A 25,155-nucleotide genomic window follows, 5' to 3' on the forward strand; every position below is an offset into this window, starting at 1 on the left:
CAGTGTGTATGCTTAGTAAATGCAAGAAATTTTAAAATATACTCAAGAAAGTTGGATTCTTACATTCATTCCTCTTTAAAAATAACCAACAAATTATTTTCATCAATATACATGGAGATTAAGGCACTTAGATATAAGAAATGTCAAACATAAAATTATAAAATTAAATTCCTCTTACAATGCCATGGGATGTGTAAGAAGTGCTAACAGGTTTTTAGTATTATATCTCTCTTTAGTGTTGTATTAGTATCTCATATTGTATCTCTCTACAAATGATTTCATTAGTGTTATTTCCTTAGCACACTTCAAAGTGATTGTCCCATAAAATCCTTCCCCAAAAATTGGATTCTTTTTTGTTTTTTTTTTGGTATGCAATGGTCTAAAGAGTTAAGGCCTTCAACATTTATTTAAAATTTGATATCTGAAGTTGAATCTTATAGGCAAGGTTATTAAACTTGAGAAAATTAATAAAAATTGAGTATCATCCTTTTTTAAAAGAAGCATGTTCAACATAAATGCTTGCCACTCAACTCTCTTGTACAAATTCTAGATTCTGAGTTTCATTCAACTTTGCCTTGAGAGTAAATTTACAGGTAACAGTAAGCATATTAAAGAGCACAGATATTGAAAACCCTAACTATGATGGGTTTCTGGCCAAGAGGAATATTACCATTTCTGATAATTCTCTTTTAACAGAATAATATTTATGAGTACCTAAACCTTTAAAATGATTTTTAAAGTGTAATATTAAAGGAAATAAAATAGTCTATAATCTCTGCCCTGAGCCCTATCCCTTGGCTGAAATAATCATTTACCTTGTTACCTTATCCTATATTGTGATAATAATTCCTATTTTTCATACGCCTTACAACTCCTTTCCATGAAAAGAAATAAAACAAGTCTGTAACTACTATAAAGGCATAAGAGATGAAAAAATAAACTTTACAAATAAGAACCATAAGACAAAAATCATACCACTACAGTTGATTTTTATATTTTCAATGAAGTGTGCAAATATTGAATATAAAAAGCAAATAACAGAATACTAATAATCATGGTTGTACTCTGCTTTAATCCTGTTTTCCATATACCTGTTTATCCAAACTTACTTTTCTACTATCTGTATGTCAAGCAAAGATAGGCCATGCTGCAGTAACAAATCACAGCATCTCAAAGCGTAGTATAACATAAGCTTATTCATTCTCTTTTGAAGTTCTATAGAGATTGGTGAAGGTAGCATCTAACTTTCTAGATTGTTTGAGTATCCACTTTTTAGATGTATTCTTCCCCCGCCCTTACAGACTAAGATGGTTAAACCATGACTTAATTTTAAACCTTGGCAAGTATATTGCATTTTTCAAGACAAGAAGTATGTCCTTTTTTTTTCAATTTTGATGACATAGTATGGAAGAATGTAATAATTAAATCTCTCAAAGTAAATGCAACTGATACCCTCCTTCTTTAAAGTTATTTTAAGAACTTTAATTTTTCACATGTATAATCTCTAAAGTTAGATGCATAGGTATATAAGCAAGCATTAAATTTTTATTCATTAACTTTTGCAAACTAATTGGTATTGAAAAGTATTGCCAGTAATACATTGTGTTAAGTGTAATTTTTCTACACATTTGGGTCACTGATTCTTTCACGTTTTGATGTCACTTAGTCTAACATAAGTGGCATTTTTTTAACTGAAGTGCCTAATTTGTATAGTGAAAACAAAATTATTCAGCTGTCAGTCTTTTCTCTTTACTCTTGGGTTGTAAATTATAGGTTGAAATTTACTAGCAGCCACTGTATTTGATTTGCAGAAAGAAGCAAAGGAGGCATCTTTGATCGCCACATCTTTTACCATTTATATCTTGGTTTATCAAAATTGAAGGTGACATCGCAGATTATATTATTCCTAGAAAAGGCTGCAGGTTGGAAAAGCCATAGGTTTGGCTTTCTACCATAGAAGGGAAATCTTTGAATATAGAAAACTGTGCATGTTTATTATTGAAGGGTAAGAATTGAAAGGTAGATAGAAGATAGATAGATGATTGATAGATAGATAGATAGATAGATAGATAGATAGATAGATAGATCGACAGATGGATAGATGAATAGTAGAATACCCTGACTGGCTACATTGGATAAATAAAATGTTTCTTAGTTTTGTTTTTTTTTTTTTTTCTTGCAGTTGAGCCTTTTGCTTTCCAGAAGAGCATATACCAAGCCACCCCAAAGCACATCACAGGATTGCCTGGTTTCCCCCTAGCTATCATTTAGACTATACTGCTATATCAAATTGTATTGTCAGGGTTTTTGCCTCTCGGTGAGTCTGTTCGTGCAAGCTAGTTGGATATTTTGATTTGACTGGTCAAGGTAAAAAAAAAAAGAAAACCTACATTTCCAGAGATCCAAGACAATAAGATGACTAATTAATGTCACGTGATTTTAAAATTCTTATTCATTTATTTGTTCCTTAGATGTTATGTGAATAATACACAATATCTGTCTTTGGGGGCTTAAAAGCTAATGGTTGAAGAAGCAGACATATGTAGAAGTCGTAATAGCTCTATGAATTTTAGGGGCAGTTCATTTGCTGAGGTGAAGGAGATAGTTGGAGCAGGCTTAGTGTATTCATTTCTTTATTGATGCCTAACAAATTAACATAAAATTAGCAGCTTAAAATCAACAATTAGTTATTATCTCACAATCCTCTACATCAGAAGTCTGAGTGGATTTGACTGGGTTTTCTGTTCTGGGTCTCAGAAAGCTAACAAAAATTTTGGCTAAGTTCAGCTCATATCTAGAGGCTCAGGGGAAGAATGCACTTATATGCTCATTCAAGCTAATGACATAATCTAGTTATTTGTGGCTGTAGGTCTGAGGTCTTTGTTTCCTTGCTGCCTTGCGGCCAAGGGGGCACTTTCTGCTCCTGGAAGCCACCTGCCTTCTTTCTCATGTATTCCCGTCCATCTTCAAAGCCAGCAACAGCACTTGGAGCCCCCGTGTTTCAAATATCCCTGACTTCTTCTGCCACCAGCCAGAGAAAATTTTCAACTTTTAAAGGGCTCATGTGATTAAATTAGATCCATCTAGATAATCTCCTTATTTTAAGGTCAACTGGCTGGCTACTGTAATTACAACAGTAAAACCCCTTTTGCCATGTAAGATAACATAATCATCAGAGTAACACCAGCGGCAAAGGTCATGGAGGACATTCCAAATTTTTGCACACCACACTTGGAGAAGTCTTTTTTACAGAGGTAGGTAGGATTGAACCCCAATAATTTGGAGGAAAGGACAGAGACAATGGGGCATGGAAATTTATGTCATATTTTTAAGGATGGTGGGAAAGTCCACTGCGCTTGTCTCAAGACAATCAAGTGATACTTATCTTGGGTTCTTATACAGTTTCATAGATTTTCATTTCTATGTAGCGAAGAGCTAATAACATAAGGCAAAATGTGTAATCGGTGTACCAAAGGCTGCTATAGGATCATAGAGAATAAGCACCGAGAAAAAAGGCATCTGATTCAGCCCTCAGCAATGGTTGGAGGTATTAGGAAAGGTTTCCATGAAGAAACCTGAACTGAATTCCTATTAAATAATAGGAATATTTGTCAAGTAACTAGATGGAGAACAATAAATGGACCATGAAAAAAAAAGAAACAAAGATCAAAGACATGAAGGATTTAGAGAAGAAGAAAGTGGCAAACGCAAGAAGAGTTTCAGTGAAAACCTGATGTCTGATGAGATTAGTTTGCATGTGTTCAGTTTGAGGTGTTTGAAACAAAGAAGTGGAGCTGCCTAGCAGTCAGATAGACCTGTCTGTCTGTCTGTCTGAAAATCTTCAGAAGTAGAGCTGGCTAAATATATTTAAAAATTAAGTTAAACTAAATGATGTGAGCATCACCTTGTATTTGTAGTATTTAAAGTCTTAAGTATGAAAGAATTACCCCAAAGAAAAGCATAAGAATATAGGAGTGAGAATCAACTTGCTATAGTAAAAGAGTAATGGGAAGTAAAGAGAATAGAAATATGGGTGGAGACTACTGTTTCCTTAAGCTTGACCTGGAGGGAAATGAGTAATACAATATTAGTTTTAAAAGGGTAGATCCACTAGAGAAGGATTTCTCAAAGCCAGTGGCAACACTATTGACATTTGGAGATAATTATTTGCTGTGTGGGGCTGTCTAATGCATTATAAGATGTTTAACAGCTATCTCTGAGCCCTACCCTCTAGATGTCAGTTGCAATCCCCAAGGTGAGACAACCAGAGTGTCTGCAAACATTGCCCAAATGTGTTCTTGGAGAAAAACCACTCCTGGTTGAGAACCACTGCTCTATAAGATGCTCATGTTAATTAGGCAATCAATAATACCACAGTTAGCAGAGGATAAGACTGAATACTGTGAGTGATCCAGTGGGGAAACAAAAGCATCTGTTGAAAATAGAAACGTTCAATGAAGGAGTAAAATAAACCTAGGAAAAGATAGAGAGTAATACTGTTCACAGGATTTGAAAAAAACTAAAATAGGTTGGCAGCCAGTGATAGCATAGCCAATGATTCTTTTATCGTTGGAGATCAAGAAATGAAGCCAAGTGTCTTTTTTTCTACCTGAGGACAACCAGCACAATACTTCCAGGTATGTCCTGGATCCCAGCCTTTCTTGCAAGCCTTTCTTGCCTTCTCGAGATCATTCCTTTAGCAATGCTTCCTTTACTCTCTCTCTCTCATTAACAAATTGCCCCTCTCTACAGCTCATTTCTATACCAAAATAATTCAAAATTCTGAGAAACACTGCTTGTGCCCACCAACATTAAAGGTATATGCATTCATTTCCTATTGCTGCTATAACAAAGTTTCCCAAACTTAGTGCTTAAAACACAAATTTCCTCTGTTACAATTCTGATATCCAGAAGTCTGAAATGAGTCTTATGCGTCTAAAACCAAGGTACACAGGAGTCCTGCATTCCTTCTGGAGGTTCCAGGAGAGAATCCACTCTCTCATCTTTTCTAACTTCTACCTATCACCTACATTTCTTGGCTTGTGGCCCCTTATCCATCTCCAGAGCATGTCATTTCAACCTCTGTGTCCACCATTCCATCTCCATATGTCTTTGTCTTTCTTGCCTCCATCTTTGAAAGACATTCGTGATTCCATTGGGCCCACCAGAATAATCCAAAAGATTCTTTCCACCTCAAAATCCTTAACTTTATCACATCTTCAAAGTCACTTTTGCCATTTAAGGTAATGTAGGTTCCAGGATTAAGATGTGAACATCTTTCGGGGAGCCATTACTAAGCCTAACACTGTATATTAAAAAGGAAAACTGTGACAATATGATGAGAATAATATAGGTCAGAGACATAGGTTAGAGGAAGAAGAGTTAGACTTGGACGACATTTCAACTGAAAATAAGCCAAACCTTGGTTGTGATATATGGAATAAAAGAGACTGTCCTTTCCATCAGTTTCTTGATTCTCAAGACTAAACTAGAACAGAATCAGTGTCCTTAAGAGAATTGTGCTGGGGTGGTTGGTATTCACTCCATTTTATTTACATTTTTATCAATTTACTAGAAAATCTAGCTGCTTAATTTCTGGTGCATTTGGAGGCCATCAGGTGTTCTTTAAATGCAGCCTCTCAAGAAAATAAAGTTTCATCAAAACCATCTGGCAAGTCTACATTTACAAGGGAACAGAGTGGCAGACCCAACCTGTTTGGGATACATATTTCATGCAATATGGTATCAAGTTAGGCAAAAATGCTACCAATCTCTTGTTTGAAAATGGTCAATTGGAGGTCGCTTTATTGCTGCATGTTCTATTATTAGCTATATAAAATTTGCAGTTTGTTTACTCCTTTTTGTCATCTGCGTTCAGTTTCATAATAAGCTATACACAACACACGTTCTACTAAGCACTGACACAGGAAAGAAAACAATTGTAACCAGAAGTGGGTGTTGATGCCTAATACATGTAAATGTAGCAAGAAACCATTAGACAATGAAAGTTAGCTCCCAGATGGTGGTACCATCTGGAACATAAATCCATAAAGGTACTTCTGTAGTATTTTTGTAATAAAAAATCAGGCCTTACTGAGAATTTTTAATAGCCACTTACGAAGTTCACTGTTAACATTAGTGTTGATAAATGACAATTATATGTATATATATACAAAGTTACATTCATGAAGGTAGGCTCTGGAAGCTTTAGGCCTCTGTTAAAGGAAAAGTGTATCATAAACTAATTGGTCTCTAGGAGAATGCTTGCAGCTGGTTTAGTAATTGGGATGTGAAAAATTTTAATTCCATATAGTATAGAAAACAATGTTTGTATATAAAGACTTTTCTCTTTGTTTTCCCGTTTAAATCCCTCCAAATATTAACTAAGTATTTAATTTTATTTTACATACTCATTGCACAGCCAGGTGAATAAGAAAAAGAATTAGTAATTTATTTTCAGCTTTAAAGTAAATAACAAATTAAGTCCTTCTGCTGTAATGTGATTTTCTCTACAGTGGGTTGGAAAATGAGAATGACTTCTTCTGAACATCATCATAAAAGGTGTCCTTCTGAACATCATTATGTTAACCATGATGTAGACCCGTGGCATTCCCCAGACAGTATGGTAGTAATTGTTCTCTCTACAGATAATTTGCACAAAACTCCCAAATTTATACTTGTGATATTCCTTTTGGAAACAATACAAGTGACATCAATTTAGAAACTTATTTTCTGTAGGCTATTTTTAGAAAATTGTATTCTTTAATGGATATTTAAAAGGCCATAGCAACAACAAGCCTATCTATATGCCACGATTTTATTTACATATTTATGTATTTTTTAACATTGAATTGGTTCCACTGTTGCTGTTTTGTATGGAATGAGAGTTGAAGAACTTAACGGCTGAATTTTAATGTGATCTGAGAAATGTGCAATAAACAGCAGACAGATTGATTTCCTGGAAACCTGTCATAATGCGATTGCACAGGATATAGGCCCAGCTCCAAGCTTATTCTTCATTGATTCCCTGACTGCAAGCAGGGATACTGCTGACCATGAAATCCCCCTTGTTTCCATATTAGAACTTATTTAGGAAACATGACATTTGTTGGGAGATAACAGCAGATTCTGGAAAGATCTTTGTGGTTATGGTGTGGATACACACACACACACACACACACAACACAGTACCTCTCATCCTCAGAGTGCCACTCTCTGCCTTCAAGTCCCTATATTTGAAAATTAAATTGAAAACTTACTAACTTTTGATCCATTATGCATTTTATTGGTATAAATTCTTCAAATGTCAAGCATGAGTAATTCACAAAACAGATGAATTGGATCCTCTCATTTGTGAAGCTCAGCACTTCATCTTTGTCGTACCTCTGTAATGGAATAGGTTTAGTTATTAGCTGAATATAATTTTATAAAGATGTGTATTTGAAAGTAAAATGGAATTCATGATTTCATCCACGAGTGGCATATTTAAATTCTGCTCACAGCGAAGTGTTACATATAATTTCATCTTGGAATTTTAAACATCTTTAGTAGATGCACGGATTTTTAGCATTAAATATGTCCTGTGTGTTCATTCTTAGCTCCCCAGTGCCAGAAACATCAACAAAAGGATATGGGAGAGTCTAACAGGACTAATGTTGTTAGAGAAATCAGCATTAGTCAATGCTCTGTTTCAGTAGCAGAGGATTGGAAGCTCAGGAACCAGTTCCATTTCTGTCTGTTTTTGTCTGCCAGATGCATAGGATATGTCCCCAGAAAGGTTTAGTGGGATATGACAGAGTCGAAAACCAAATTAGCAGCCCTGGACTGTGACTGTGAACTGGGGTGAAATAGATCAGCACAAATTTCTCCCATCTTCCCTGTTAGACCAATTGTGAGTGTTTTTCTGTTTGAAATCATTATAAATCTGAAACGAGTAGGCTAAATAAAAAGCTACCAGACTAACTGCATGATACTAGTGTCAGTTTACTCAAATGCAAGACTAAAAAACTATCTTCTGGTTCATAAAGAACATTGAAATTTTATCTCCTATTAGTAGCATAAAAAAGTCACACTTAGTGTGTTGTTTCATTTTATAGATTAAGAATATCGGCTGAGCATTACTCTTAAGAGTTGAGATTATGGCTAGTAATTTATCTCTGATGGGGTGGAATACAGTATAATTTCACTTATTTTTTTCACTTGCTTAGTACTGAGCATAGACATGATATCTAAAATTGCTTTCCTTTTAGTTGCAAGAAGATTAATATTTATTCTACACTTGCATATGAAAATTGGTACACAGTGTCTCATGTTCCAAGACACACTCAGTAACAAATTAATAAAGTTCAAGGCTTGAATAGCACCTTTCACCCCTACCACTAGACGCTGTAACTAATCAAAGTAAAGAGAGAAAATTTAGTTCTAAATGTTAAATAAATGAGTTGTACACCAATGAATGTTTGACAACTAGCAATGTCCATAAGTCTGGAGCATTTATTCTTGTAGACTCTACCTTTCATTTTCTACTCTGCTATCAAGCACTTTAACATAGTGTGCCTTGCCTTCTCATCTAGGTGAGCTAGTATCAACGTCTTCTTTATGCAGATTAATGTTTTATGTCCTAGATCTAGTGCCATTATATCATTTTTCCTAATTTAACCATACAAAGGATGTTCTCCTCCTCCCAGAGTTCCTTATTCAATTTTCATAAACTTTTTAACTATCTGCTTTGTTGTTGTTTGTTTTTGTTTTCAGAGAAAATAGTAAATTGAAATGAGGAAGGAATTAAGTGACCTTTAACTACCAAAGATTTAGAGAGTTGGTGATTCTATAAGAATTAGTAACTATTCTAGAAAAGGCATAGAACAGGAATTATTGTATATAAGGAGGGAAAGAGAGGGATGGATCTCATGGAAACTCAATCAACTTGCTATAATATTATGTATTTCATATTACATGACATTATATTTAAAATATATAATATAAGTAAATCCCATCCCAATTTTCACTTATGAATTGAATTAATGTTTCAGTTATGAATGAATTAAGCCAGTTGCTAAGTTGTCATAGAGCTTAGTAACTTCCCATACAATTCCTTTTAACTCAAGAAAAAAATGTGTACTCTGGGTGTGGGTAATATTAAAATCATTAGATATTATAAGTCAATAATGAATAAACATGCAATACACCTTGGTTGGTTAATATGCTGATAGAAATTTCAGGTTACTGGGCTGTCACCCCAAATTCTAGGCAAACTATACTTAACTATTATATAACATGTAAGTAAGGAAATTCTTGAGTGAACCACTATGTTTTAATATCTTAGGAAAGATTACACTTCTTTTCAATTATTACTTCTTGGGGATCAACTGGAAACTTAAGTTATTATCTTTGTCATCATCTTTCCTTGAATTGCAGACAGCATTAATTTTTTCATATGTGATATTAATCCTCAAAATAAAGGTAACTCATTGTGGCAGATGTGCAAACAGCAGCAAGTTATGATTTGCTTGACTGGAATATGAATTATACATTCCTCTAAATGTGTAATTGGAGAAGAAGATTTTATTAAAGACATCTCCAAATGATCTCTAAAATAGTACATGCAGGAAATATTAATGCCATGGGTCTGGAATCACCTACATTTGATATTGCAGGCAAGGTATATACCTTTTTTGACTTGGGTAGCATTCTAATAATGAGTGGACAGAAATTTGAGCTCTTTACTGTCACTGCCTATTTCACTTGTAGCCTATTTAATCTCTCTAAGACTTTAATTTACTATCACCTCACAATCACTGTCCTCAGGGTCTATGTCATGAGGAGACTGATGATGACAATATTACATTATTTCTTTGAAAAATAATCCTGTTGGACAGGATTCTGAATTCTACCCTTAATTACAGAGTACTAGAGTCAACATCAAACATGCTTTTTATTACTTTCTGATATTGAGTATTATAGAGTATTGGAGCAAACTGTAACCATATGGTAATACTCAGTAAAACAAAATGTAAGAAAAGCAATGACAAATTTTTAGAGGGGTGATGGTATCATGAATGGAAAAAACCTCAAAGAACAACTAGACTATAAGAATATTTATTATGTGTCAAAGATTATCTCAGTTAACTGTCACTTTAACTCTTACTGTTATTATCTCCATTTTAGAAATAAAAAGAAAAAACCAGATTCTGGAAGATGAAGTCATTTACCTGAGGTTATATTCCAACTATATAGTTTGGGGTTACCTAAGGTTATATAGTTGGAATATTACCTGAGGATATATAGTTGGAATATAACCTCAGGTAAATGACATCATCTTCCTGAATCTTGTTTTTTTCTTTTTATTTCTAAAATGGAGATAATAACAGTAACAGTACATAGTACAGTTGGAATATAACCTCAGGTAAATGACATATATATGTAGCAGTGGGGCAGGGCAGGATTCTTGCTAAAAAGAAAATGCTGGAATAATGTGAACCCAGGGATGGGTAAATAGCAGAACAGGAAAAATGGCAGATAAGAGAATACCTGGATTTAGAGCTCATTGTGCTATGGTGGAAACTGCATGGGCTTCCGAATAACATTGTTCTAGTAGTGAATCTCTGTCATCAGCTTGCTATCATGGGCAATTTACTTTATCAAACCCTAAGTTCTTATAAAGTAGTGTTAATATTTTTCACCTGATTGTTATGAGACTTTAAATACACACACACACACACACACACAGTTTTTTGTTTGTTTGCTAACATTTGGTTGGTTGGTTGATTGGCTGTTTTGTTTTTTTAACTTTATGGAGGAGACCTGGAGTCTTATGAAACACTCAAGCTTTGCAACAGACTAAACTCAGTGAACTAGGCTCTTGACACTTAGGAATCACCAGAACACAGAATGGTATGAACAATGGCAGATCGAGGATTGGCAATAATTGTAAGTTTGTGAAGACAAAGTGGTGGAACTAGGGAAGACATATAGGAACGGCTCCAGCCATGGACGTGGAAATAAGCATGGGGCTGAAATCCACAGCAGGAGAAAATGAGGGACCATGAAGAATTGTGAGCAGTTAATAAAGACTCTGAAACAGAAACTAAAATAAAATTCACCTGTCAAAATGTAGACAGTAGTGGATAGGAGTTCACCGATAGCAAGGATGGCTGGAGGCTGACCCTGGAATGTAGAGCTTTCTGGTCACAACTGGCCCTGAGAGCTTGGACCATAAGGACCAGCAGATCAGCCCAGCTTTCAGGGTGGAAGGAGTGTCCAGCTCAGCTGCAACACCCACAGAGGGAGAAAACCATGGTTCTGCGGGGCATGTGAGAGACGAGGGTGGAGCTTGTGATTGTGCTGGTGTAGCAGTGTATAACTTTCATGGATAAAAATATTCACTATGTTAGATATTCTTCCCTAACCTAGAATAAGATTCAGAGCAGTACTGGCTTTAACCACAGCGCTCATCGTCACTCTCACAGGAAATAATGTGTCTGGTGACAGCAACAAAAAGCATCATTATGGGAGAGGATTTCGGTCCGGTTTTGTGTCTCAGACTCTACACTGTCTCTGACTGAAGGGGTTTCCTCCATGATCATTTGGCTGAGTCTTTCTAGTCATTCAGAACACTGCTCAAATGTCATCTTCTCAAAAAGGCCTTCTCTGATCATCCCACCTAATACTATCTCTTCCTCCACCCCCAGCTATTCTTGTGTCAGGATAGCAAATTTCACTCAAACACCAACTCCTGCTTAGCAGCGATGTAATTTTTTTGTGTGTGTGTCAAGTCTATAATTAACCAGGCCTCCGTCTGGTGTACTCTATGCACTGGATAATGAGAAAAAAACAAATAAAATAAACTTTTAATCCAATCCAAAGTTTTTTTAAAAAAATGAAAATAATCGTGACAGTGTACAGGATTATTCAACTTTCATGGATAAAAATATTCACTATGTTAGATATTCTTCCCTAACCTAGCTTCCCTCCCTAAGCAAATCACTGGATATACTGGGAGAGAAAGGAGGTTTCTGTGGCCAGGTAGTAAGAAGGGAGATTCAGGAGTCATGGGAGGAATCAGCAACTTAGGACTTCAGGGTAGTGTTCTTTATCCAGGTAGTTGCTGCTTGTCCTGTTGTCATTCTTGACTGAAACCTGCAGTGGTGTAATTGGTAATGTGATCTAATGGTGCGTCTTGCAGGAGCTCTACTTACCTCAGCTGTGACTTCCCTGTGGCACTCTGTGGTCTTGCTGGGCTTCTTTGTCAGCCCCAGCTTATGTGGAGTACTGTCCTCTCTAGGAAGCCACCTGCCCCCATTCTCTTTGGTGAGGCCCTCCGTGGTGATTCCCCAGCATAGCTCTGAAGTCAGTGGGCACTGTGGACACCACATGGCAGCTCAAGCATCCCACTGCCTGGCCATTCTGCTCTGCCAAGCTTGTGTGAAGGTGCATGTGGGGTCATCTGAATGGTGGCTTCTTTTCAGAATTATTCTTTTTGTTGTTGTTGTTGTTTTGAGACGGAGTTTTGCTCTTGTGGCCCAGGCTGGAGTGCAGTGGTGCGATCTCGGCTCACTACAACCTCCGCCTCCCGGGTTCAAGCAATTCCTCTGCCTTAGTCTCCAATGTAGCTGGGATTACAGGCACGTGCCACCATGCCCAGCTAATTTTCTTTTTCTTTACTTTTTTTTTTTTTTGGCATTTTTGGTAGAGACGGTGTTTCACCATGTTGGCCAGCCTGGTCTCAAACTCCTGACCTCAGGTTATCCACCTGCCTCAGCCTCCCAAAGTGCTGGGATTACAGGCCTGAATTAATTAATGAGGTGTAGAAGCAGGAGCACTCTCTGCCCTTCCTGTTTCTTTGATTTATCTAACACCCTCTATCTAATACTATCCCATTACCTCAGCACGAATGCCCTCATCTAGCTTCTCCAGGGAAAGATCCCAGGACACGTAAAGCTTATTTGTTTCTCTATATATTGTCACTTTAGTCTTTGCTAAGCAGAAGCATGATCATCTTCATCATCTTCTTACCTCAAAGTTTTCAATTTTTTTTTTAAAGAGATGGAGTCTTGCTATGTTGCCTCCGAACTCCTGGGCTCAAGCAGTCCTCCCACCTCACCCTCCCAAGTACGTAGAACTATAGGTGCACAGCACCACGCCTGGCTAAGGCCTTCACTTTTAACAATTAAGGTCCTGTTTTTATATATCAGAACTGAGCAATTTATATTTCACTCTATGTGAAATGTTGCTATAAGAAATCCTAACTGCCTTCAGACCTTTTTGTTCAGAAAAGTCTTGTGTTCACAAAGGCAAAGGAAAAAAAGGGAGGGTTGATCATTTTCAAACATTATGCCCTTAAGAACCAAGAGGTAATTATATTTCTCACTATTTAATTTAGTTCTGAACGTTGAACATAAGCACATACAGATACATTCTAGTGTATATGTATCAAGAGAATGATAAAGTTAACTAACATTTGTTGAGTGACTACCATGCACATTGTACTTTTCATCACTTCATTTCATCTTCCCTTAAGTAAGGATCTATATAGCAATCTTGCAAAATGCTTACCTTGTAGTAGGCTAAATGCCCTATCCCTTTCTTTATTTGTAACTTAAAATTTTAGTAATTTTTTAAACATCAAGGCATTTTTTTTATTTCCATTTTCCATATCTGATGTTCACACCAATCCTGTTGGTATAAAGCAAGGTTGCTAGTAGGTCTCTGTTTTACAGACGAAAACAGGTTCACAGAGCTTAAATGACTGATTGCGATGTCAAATAACAACATGGTGGAGCTATGAATAGAATGCATGGAAGGAATGCCTTTTTGCTCCTCATTTGCAAGCTGCCTCATGTTAACAATTATCATATGGTCATGTAGCATTATAGTAAGCAATAGAAAATTAATTGTGCCCATATACAAAGTGTGTAATGCTGTGGCAATATAATTCTGAATATTACTCTTAACACAGATCACCAATTTGGTTAAATTTGTTTAAAAATAAGCCAGAAGAAATAGAATATTATAACATCCCCACTAAATCACTTCCCTGTTCTTCAAATCACATACTGACAATTGCCAGAAAATGATTATGGTAAGATGGGAAATAGATGAAGTTTCAAAGGCAAATACCTATCATCATAATCAATCCTTAAAAATGCTTCTGACTTCTATTAGAAAATAATGCATTAGGTTTTAACATGTAGTTACTTTGTAAGTGTTTTCCCTTTTGAGTTTCTATGAGGCCCCAGCTATGTAAGTGGTTGCATGCACAGAGGGAAAAATGAACCTGGCTCAAATTCTCCTACCACAATTTCCTAGTTGTGTGACCACAGGCAAGTCACTTAACCTTTCAACATCTCAATATTGAAACCTTTCAACCTTTCAATACCTTTTCTCTTCTGTGTTATTAGTCTCTATTTGATGGGCTGGTTATGAGGCTTAAAACACATAAACCAACTTACAATGTGCCTGGCACAGGGTAAGCAATTCTTAGCCATTACTAGAGTATAAGCTGCTGAAAACAGAAATCCTTGTTTTTGTTCAGTATCATAACTCCAGAGTCAATAACAGTGATTGGCCTAGAAAGGCACTTTCAAATACATGTCAATTAATTAGATACCTAGTGTTTAACCAAGTAAGCAAAGTAACCAAGTAAACATTGTGGCGCTAACTAGCCACACTAGTCATTTCATATTATGAGCCCTCTAAGTCAATTAAGACATTAAACTTGACCTCCTCTTATTCATATTAAATTGTTGTTTTCCCACTATATGATGTATGTGCCTGTGTGTGGGGGAAGGGAGAGGGGAGGTAAGTGGCAAATATTGCTTTTATCCATAACCTCACGAATTTCATCTTACTCCTACTTTCAAAATATCCATTATACTCTCTCTCTTTCCAAAAGAGATTTGTGTTGACTCATATTATAGGACAATGCAACCTAATAAAATGGTAATAGGAAATTACAGCCAATAAAAGGAAAAGAAAGAAATATCTAAACTATAAGAGGAGCTGCTGGGTTTGAGCATCACAATTGACTCTAAGCTTTTGCACCACCCTTAACTTTTCCAAATGCCAGCAAGAAAGGTTGGCCTCATCTCTTGACTAGAGTGGTAAATTAGGTAGTCATCACCACAGACCATTTTTTAGAAGTAGTTGGATTGTTCTGCAACACCAGTGTATTTCTCACTTTGGCCTAGCATTGGTGCATAATGGTAAGCTACAGATATGTAAAAGAGCAGTGACAGAATAGCTTGGATTTGTTTAGAAATGCTCTTACTGTGCACTGTTATTTTATACTATGTTGACTAGCTTACTGTATGCTTACTATGCACTGAATAGCTTAGAGTGGCATTCTGAGCTTCAAATGAAGCACTACCATTTAAATTTAAGAGACAGAGAAGAACACCAAGCAAACGCTAATGTAAACTATGGACTTTGCGTGATAAAAATATGTCAAATGTAGCTTCCTCAGTCGTCACAAACATACCACTGCGGCACTGGATGTCCACTGTGGGGAAGATTATAATGGGGAGGAGACAAGAGGCTTATGGGGACTCTTTGTACTGCTTAGCTTTGCTGTAAACCTGAAGCTGCTCTAAAAATGAATGTTTATTAATCTAAAGAAAAAATTCTGAATAATTTACAAAATCTATTGTAAAAAATTACAAAGGGGGCACTCATCATACTACCTTCATGTGGCTATAGTTTTAATTGTCTTTTTGGTGCTTGCTTTTAATTGTCTCTTTTTTTGCTTGAGGTTCAGTAAATTTATATAGTAAATATTAATTGGATGAAAAAAAAGAAGAGGGGGAAAGAGAACTATATAGAACTGCTTACACTCTAAGGCGGTTGGCTGGGAGAAGGGTCTGCAGTCAAGCATGCTACACAAATTGGGACAGTATTTATCTGAACTTGAGTTGACTGAAGTAAGATAGAGCCAGCTAAATAGTTCAGCAACACATGTTGGATATTTGTATTCCATGCTTGCAAGGTAGGATCAGCATGAGTATCTATAATTATTACAAGGCACGCAAACTGAAGTCAAAACTGGTAAGAGTTGCTTTCTTTTTAAAAATTATTGTCACAAACTTCTCAATTTATTTCTCATCACCAGTGTTTTTCTCTTCAAAATTCTTTGAATGGATTCTATCCATTATATTTGAATGCTAACAATGTAATAAAGATAATAATAATAATGTTATTCTAACCATTCATTCATCATGCATTACACATTAATTCAATTTGGAGCAAACATTTGGAGTAATTTGGAGCAAACATACACAAGAAATACACTTTATAAAGTCTATTTGATTTGTAATTACTCTGTTAGGTTTTAGGATCACCCCTAAGTCTAGCCCAAATAAGAAATATGTTCTAAAACATTTGCACTAAAGTATACTAGAAGGATAATAGATATGGTAATGTCATATGGTTTGTGACACTTTTAAATTGTCCTTTATCGCCCATAAATTTTCACTTACGTCACACATTTAAATTGACTTTATATCACCCATAAATTATCACTTAGTCATACTACCTATACCATTGATATCAGTAAGTTCTGATAATTTTTAGGCAAAAAACCTTGTCAATGAAGTAGCATTTTCCTTGGAACCAAGCACTGCTAGTATCATCTTTTCTTTATTCCAAAGGCCCATAGAAAGAGTGGAAATTAACTTACCTTCAGTGTAAATAATGAATCATGAAAAAAGATTGATTTTTCCAGTGTAGTATGAAAAATGAAGAACTTTTTTAAAGATTTAAACCTCTAACAGGTGGAGATTTGCATAAATATTTTTGAATAATATAATTATACCTATAAGAAAAAAACTGAGTTGAAGTAAAAAGCCCTACTAACAATTCATATGCCTGACTCTATAGCAATTCCTTTACTGGCCTGTAGCTATAATGTTTTCTATCAGACTAGAGGGACAGGGTCTTTTATCTCTTTCTTAGACAAGCTGGGAAAATAACCATCCTGAAGATTTTGTAAGTATAGCCAAGTAAAATAGAAGGAAAACTTGATTCTCTCTAATTTAATAATATGGTAAACCATTAACATTTTCCCTTGATTATGTATTTTTACACAAAGGATAGGACCTTAGAGTGTTCTCCTTGGTTCAAATGATAAAATTCATTTGAATTTTATAGGAACCAGGGAAATAAGTATTTTCTGCACCTTTGCTGTAGGGAACAATTGAAATAAATGTATTGAAATTCATGACTCACACTTGACTACAGGCAATATCAACATAAAATGCATGGTTGTAGTGTTGCAGATGTGTTGTGAGGCATTATGCTTATAGCCTCATCAGCTAGAAACAAAGGAAAAGCAAAATCTCCTAACTTTTTAACTAAGAAGCTTACAATGTGTCCTCCGCTACCTTGGGATTTGTTTTTAAGAAAAAAATATAAACATATGTTATAAATTCCTGAGTTTTTAAAATTTCAAATATGGAACATACTCTTAGAGTTTAAAAAGGTAATATTTATATTTCAATTAAACATTTAGAAGATCATTTTCATCTTACACAAATTTTACCAGTATACATGTTTGATTAAAATATTTATATATATATATGTTTGACATTAAGGTGAAAATTATACCAAATGTTTATAAAATTTCAGCTTTCTTGTATAATAAAATTGGCTTAATATTTTAAAAATAGATATATTATCAAACTTTCAAATCTCTGGTTTACTATTTACTCATGGAAATAAAATGGTGTTTTCTTTACCTTGATTTTGAAATGCTTTTTAATTTTAGTGAGTTTGTGAACTGATAAGAAACTTGGTATGGTTTGGTATGGTGGCTCATGCCTGTAATCTCAGCACTTGGGGAGGCCAAGATGGGCTGATCACTTGAGGCCGGGAGTTCAAGACCAGCCTGGCCAACATGGCAAAACCCCATCTCTAAATATATATATATATAAACTATACACACACACAAAAAAAAAAAAAAAAAAAAAAATTAGCCTGGTGTGGTGGCACGTACCTGTAATCCCAGCTATCGGTGGCTGAAGCACAAGAATCACTTGAACCTAGGAGGCCGAGGCTGCAGTGAGCCGAGATCGCGCCACTGCACTCCAGCCTGGGTGACAGAGTAAGACTGTCAAAAAAAAAAAAAAAAAGAAAGAAAGAAGTATGAGCTTATAGATTTACAAAGAAACTAGAAATGTATTTAACTGCAAAGAAATGTTTATTCCTTATAATGAACTTATAACATCAAAATATATATTATTATTTTCAACAGTTTTTTTATGGTATAGATATAAAAAAGATGGTGAAAATATAAAAAATTATCTATTTTTAGGGAATATTTTAAAATGTAGGCTAGAGATTTCTAAAATGTTTATTCTGATAATTCTCAATATGAATTTTCTGTCTGGTTTGCATAAATACCCCCTCTTAACGGAGAAGTAGAATACTCAAATATAGAGGAAATATGTAAGCCATTATTACATGGGGGCAATAGGAGGGTGAAGAATACTGATACCAGCCCCCAACAGAAACTCCTGTATTCAATAATCAAGAATTTTATTCATTAAAAGACTTTAAGGTTTAAACTGATGAGATTACCATGATTTTTGACAATAGAGATCAGTTTTCACATGGCAAATAAATGAGCAGATTGAATATTGACTATATGTAATGAGTTCTGCATCTGTGCTAAATTATTCTTTTACCACACTGAAGACTCAATGGATTAATCTATGCAGAATGGATTAATGCTGTTATTGCAGGAGAGGGTTCTCTGGAGAGTGGATTCCTGATAAAACGATCAGTTCAGGTTTTATTTTCTCTGTCTCATGCATGCACTTCCACTTCCTGTTTTCCACCATGGGATGACTCTTGCCAGATGCCAGCACCACACTCTTGGACTTCTCAGCCTCCAGAACTGTGAGCAAAATAAACTTCTGTTCTTTATAAGTTACCCAGTCTGTGATACTCTGTTATAGCAGCAGAAAATAAACTAAGAAAGAACATCGGTACCAAGAAGTGGGGCTGTTGCTATAATGAATACTTGAAAATGTGGATGAGACTTTGGAACTGGGTTATAAGTGGAGACTAGAAGAATTTGGAGGAGTGGGTTTAAAACAGCCTAGATTGCCATTAATGGAACATCAAGTATGCTTCTGTTGAGTATTCAAAAGAAAAGAAAACTAAGGAACGTCTAAATCTTCTTAGAGATTACTTAAGTGGTTGTGAACACAATGCTGGTAGAACGCCATACCAATGCTGGTAAAGGCCAGTCTGAGAAGGCCTCAGATGGAAATGAGGAATACGGTATTGCAAACTGAAGTAAAAGCTATCCTTGTTGTACAGGAGCAAAGCACTTGGGTGAATTGTGTTCATGCCTGAGGGCTTTATGGAATGTGGAACTTAAGAATGATGAACCGGGATACCTGGTGGAAGAAGTTTCTAAGCAGCAAACCATGTAGGCTGTTGCATGGCTACTTTTAACCGCATAAAATGAGATGAAGAAGAAAGGAATGACTTAAAGGCAGATTTTTATAATTAAAATAAAATTTAAGTGGAAATGTTTGGAAAATTTGTGGCCTGGCCATGTAAAGAATGAAAAGGCTGTTTAAAAGGAAATACTAGGTATTATTGACCATTTACTAAAGACAGTACCAGGGATAGAAGGGATCAAGGTGCTATTCATTAAGACAGTGAGAGAAAGACACTGAAGGCATTTTGGAGATCTTCTAGGCCACTCCTCCTATCACAGGTCCAGAGTTCTAAGAGGGTGGAATGGTTTTCAGGGGTGAGCCCTGGGTGCCCTCCATTAGCTCATTGTCAAGGCCCATCTCAGAACTCTGCTCCCTGCATTCTGAAGCAGTGCTTTTTAGCTTCCTCATCTTTGACGCAGAGGGACCCAGGTGTAGTTGAATCCACTACTTCAGAAGGTACAAGCTGTAAATTTTGGTGGTGTCCATGTGGCACTAATTCTGCAGGCATGCAGAATTCAAGAGCTATGGGGACATAGCTACTTCACCTAGATTTCAAAGGATGTCACAGGTAGTATGGGGGTTTAGGAAGAAACCTGCTACAATGGCAGAGCCATCTCAAAAAATTCTCATTAGGGTAAAACTCTGTGGAGCTACAGGAACAGGGCTACTGGCAAGAACACAGAGCTATGAGGTCACCAACATGCAACTCCAACCTATGAGAGCTGCTGGATAGACTGAGTCCAGCAAAGCTATAGGGGCAGGGTTGCCTGAGGCCTTTGGGGTCCATCTCCAGCTCCACTGTATCCAGGAAGTAGGACGTGGAGCCAAAGGAAATTATTTTCCAACTGTAAGCTTTAATGTTGTTTTTCCTGTTGGGTTTTAGACATACTTGGGACCAGTTAGCTCTTTCTTTTTGCCCTTATCGCTGCTTGTCATACCATTTTATTTTGGAAGTAGATAACTTGTTTTAGCTTCATAGATCAAAAGCTGAAGGCAATTTGCCTAAGAATGAATCATTCCTTGAGTCTCACCCATATCTTACTTAGATGACACTGTAGATTTTGGACTTTTGAACTGGCACTGGAACCAGTTAAAATTTTAGCTCTATTGGGATGGAATGAATGTATTTTGCATTGTGAGAAGGACATAAATATTGGGGGCCAGAGAAGAAATGATATAGTTTGAATATGTCCTCCAAATTTCATGTGTTGGAAACTTATTCTCTCATGAAACAGTGTTGAAAAGTGGAAACTTTAGGAGGTAATTAATCCATGAAAACATTAATGCTGTTATCATGGGAGTGGGCTAGTTATCTTGGGAGTGGGCCCCTCAGAAAAAGAGAGCTCTCATGCGCTTGCTTCTTCCTCTCACCTTCCACCACAGGATGACCCTTGACAGATGCTGGCACCATGCTCTTGGATCTCTCAGCTTCCATAACTGTGAGCCTAATAAGTGTTTGTACTTTGTAAATTACCTAGTCTGTGGCATTCTGTTATAGCAGCAAAAAAAACAGGCTAAAACAACACTTTAAGAATTTTTTTTCTAATAATAATTGTTGCTAGCACTATGTTCTGAAAACAATAATAAATTGCTTATGATTAATTGCGTCACTTATTACTCATGACCCTACTATTGACCCTGACTACTCATGACCCTTATTATTATCTTCATAGTGCAGGTGAGAAAACCAAGGCTTGGCAAGGTGAGGGGACTTGAGAAACTTCACAAAATTTCTAAAAGGTATTGTTGGGAATCAAACCCAGGGAAGCCTGACATGAAAGCATAGGTTCTTAATCAATGTCCTATAGGGCTTTTCCAGATAAAGGTTTTATGCTTTATCGATTATGGACTGAACTTCAAAAACACTCAATTAGCCTTTCTTCCTGACACTATCAGAGTCTTTAAAAATAATGTGTTATTTGTACCAGATCGTGAAAGGTATATGGCTTTCAACAAAGGGAATGTTGAAGAAAGAAACACACAAAAAGGGAAACATGGTGATTTAGAGTTTGTACATATCAAGTTTGAGATGCCAGAATGACATCCAGGAAGAAAAGCTCAATAGGCAACTGAATGGGAATCTGGGTCCCTCATCAATTTAAAAGGTCAGAGCTAGACATATAGATCTGTGAGTTGTTTGCATGGAAGTGATAGGTAAAACAATAGAAATATCTGAAATAGTCTGCAAAGAGAAATCAGAAGCTAAAAAACAAGGCTGGTGAAGGATTCCTGAAAATATCTGCATTTGGAGAAAGATGGAAATAAAGAACTCAGCAATGGTGACTGGGATGATTCATCGAAGTGAGAGGAGGAAAATCAGAAACATGAAGCGTCAAAGTAACCAAGAGTAGGAACAGTAGAACAAAGAAACAGTAGAAGAAAATGTTTTGGAGATGTTTAATAGGGTAAAGGAGTCAGTTGTTGAAAATTAGAAAGATACTGCTAAGCTTAAAGAAAGCAATTTCAGTCAGCTAGTAAAATGAACGACTGATTGTGTTAGAGTGGTTAATTAAGATGAAGAATTAGACATGTCGAGTGTATAAAATTGTTTCTAGAAGTTTGACCAGAAAGAGAAGCATGGGTATGAGCAGGTTTCTGAGTGGGAAGAAGAATCTGGAGAAGATTGTTTTGCTTTGCTTTTTAAAATTAGTATTAGCCTGTAGAAATTTGAGTGTGTGACTGCTGAAGAGAAAAAAAAGCTTGTCAAAGAAAGACTGAATGAACAAACCTGGAGATAAATAAAAGACAAAAGAGATTGATGAGGAGCAAGATCCTGGAAGACGCAAAGTGAGAAACTCTCAGCAAAAAGCAGGAGAGGTGAGATTTAAGTGTGAGAAGGCAGTGCCGCCTTGGAGATAGGAAATGCGGGCAGGACTCGTGAGGGTACAGGACACATTCATGGGAGTCATGAATCTGTTTCCTTTCCAGTAGTTATGATCAACTAATCATAAGTTTTTACTTTTAGATTTAGGAAGGATTTATAGATAGGACTACAGGTGCATGACACTGTTCCCAGCTAATTTTCTATTTTTTGTAGAAATGGGGTGCCACTGTGCTGCTCAGGCTGGTCCTGAAGTCCTGGCTCAAGGGATCCCCTTGCCTTGGCCTCCCAAAGTGCTGAGACTCACAGGGATGAGCCTCTGTTCCTGGCCTCTGATTTATTATTATATAATACAAATATTTTTATATAATATAATATAATACAGAACCTCCAACTAAGAGATGAAATCTGCTATATCTATGGCCCCTCATTTTACTACAGAAACTTGTCAAGGTTTTAATACTAAAAGTAAAGCTACCAAAATGATAGCTTTAGAGGCTCTTTTCTTTCTAATAAAATAAATTATACAAACACACATACATTCCTATCTTAAGATTCAGGCTTATATATATTACACGCACACACACACACACACACACACACACACACAAAGAATTTCTTGTGTAATGAAGAAAAACGTAAATTGAGAGATTATCCAGCAAAAAATTAAAAGTAAAATTTTTGCATTTTATTCAACACTAAAAACTTGTTTGTTAATATTTTTAGTTTTAACTGAAGTAGGAAGTAATCCTTCATTTAATGTAATTTTTTTAAGAGACAGGGTCTTGCTTTATTGCCCAGGTTGGAGTGCAGTGGAACCATCATAGCTAACTCTTCACTGCAACCTTGAACTCCTGGACTCAAGTGATCCTCCTGCCTCAGCCTCTTGAGTAGCTGAGACTACAGGCAGGTGCCATCACTCCCAGCTAACTTTTTTTATTTTTAGTAGAGATGGGGTCTTAGTATTTTGCCCAGGCTGGTCTCCAACTCCTGGGCTCAAGTGATCCTCCAGCCTCAGTCTCCCAATGTGCTGAGTTTATAGGCATGAGTGACTGCACCCAGCCTCATTTAATGTAATATTTGCAGCTATTAACATATTGTTACAATAATGAGTGAGTTTAGTATGATATTAATGGTGAAATTACTGAGTTTGCATTCTGGACATTATTTCTACAACTTGTAAAACTCTTACCTAGATAACAAATCTTAAAATGCCCAGAGTTAATTATCCTGGAGTAAGAATATCTCAATTGTCCCCTCATATAATGCCAAGAAGGAGTTGACTCCATGGTAACATATCAAAGTTTAGAATGGAAATACAATTCCTACTCTGCAGGTACCTGGTAATGACATATGCCCGGTTTTTCACAAAGAAGATAAAAGTGTAGTCCTTGATTTGCTCAGACCAAAAGGTGACCTCAGGGTGTTTCGCAGATGACCTGACTCTACTGAATTGCCTATGGACAAAAACCATGTACTAGATATGTAGATGACAGTAGAGGATGCTTTTTAAGTCATACTGGCTAAAAACATTTTTAAAATTCAGAACAATTACCACCTCATCATAAAAGCCTACTCTAGCTATTCTTTCTAAAATATTAACTTTCAGACCCTTCCTAATGGGTCTTATTTATTATTCTTCCTAGATAAACTGCACATATAACATATTTTTTGTTTCTCTTTTCTGTCTCTCTTCTCAAGAAAGTAAGCTACATGAGAGAAGGGACCTTGTGGTGGTGTTTACTGCAGTATCACTAACACCTGGAATACAGAAAGTGTTTGATAAATATTTTAAATGCATAAATAAATGCATGAACAGGTCTGAACTGTTTAGAATTCACTCACCCAAGAGTTATTGTGTTTTTGATGTATATATAACATTAAAATATGTGACAGGCTGACTTTTAAATATATGTTATTTGATGGTGAAAACTATACCTCATATATTTGATTGCTATATATATAATCTTTGGTGGGCACAACCCTTATGCAAATTAATACTAGGGATTTTTGATGTAAGTGAAGATATATGATTAGCTCTATTGTATCCTGAAGGCCCAGAAGGATTGTGATAAAATAAATGAAAACATAAAACCAGGGAGGTCAAAGAGAATGGGATGGAAAATTATGTATGAGAAATATAGAAATTTTGAAAGCTGAAGAGGCAACCTAGGAGTGGTAGCTGACTTTGTAGAACTAAAAACAATGAAACCTGAGCCTTCAGGGGGTGGGAGCCAAGAGGACGTAAGGTGATTCATGCTGCCAAACCTTAGAAAAACTCAGGAATTGTAGCTACCAAATTCCTGTGAGGGTGAAAAAGTAAGGTAAGGAAGATTGATTGAAAATTAAGATAGGGGTTAGTTAGCCAGCCACCAAGGGTACAGGGGAAGAGGACCAGAGGTTTACTTTCCTAAAAGTTTGAATCACAAAGCCAATATGCACATTCATGGACTCCAGACCCAGGTAGATCATCAAGATGAAAACAAAGGGGATGCATTAAAATTTCCATGCTGAAAAATGAGAAATTACAGGCCTTTTTCTCTGTCTGGTTGACTTGTTTATTGTCTTTTTTTTTTTTCCTAGTTTGAATAGCACTGGACTTAATCTGAGTCAGTTACAGTAATTGAGACAATGCAAGGGGAATTTGTAAAATACTACTACCTACCAAAGCTGTCCTTTTAAACGTATGTGTAATAAGCCCAAAATATATGGGACTAGAGCTTGAGGAATACTAGATGTTAAAAAGGAAAATCAATGTTAGCTTTCAATCCCAATTTAAATGAATTGAACTATTAAAAAATCAGAGCTACAAAGGAAACATGCTGCCACGGAACAATTTCAGTGTTCTTGACTGACATAAGCAAATTGGAACTATAAGAAGGATCAAGG

At 36.1% G+C, this 25,155-nt stretch overlaps 1 protein-coding gene across 2 annotated transcripts in view; it reads left to right on the forward strand.

Moving 5' to 3' along the window:
• KCND2 (potassium voltage-gated channel subfamily D member 2) overlaps positions 1-25,155 on the forward strand; it is a 477,430-nt gene that overhangs the window by 188,950 nt on the left and 263,325 nt on the right. The gene's annotated exons all lie outside the window — the stretch shown is intronic.

Source organism: Homo sapiens, chromosome 7, assembly GCF_000001405.40.
Source record: "Homo sapiens chromosome 7, GRCh38.p14 Primary Assembly".
Taxonomy (NCBI): Eukaryota; Metazoa; Chordata; class Mammalia; order Primates; family Hominidae; genus Homo; species Homo sapiens.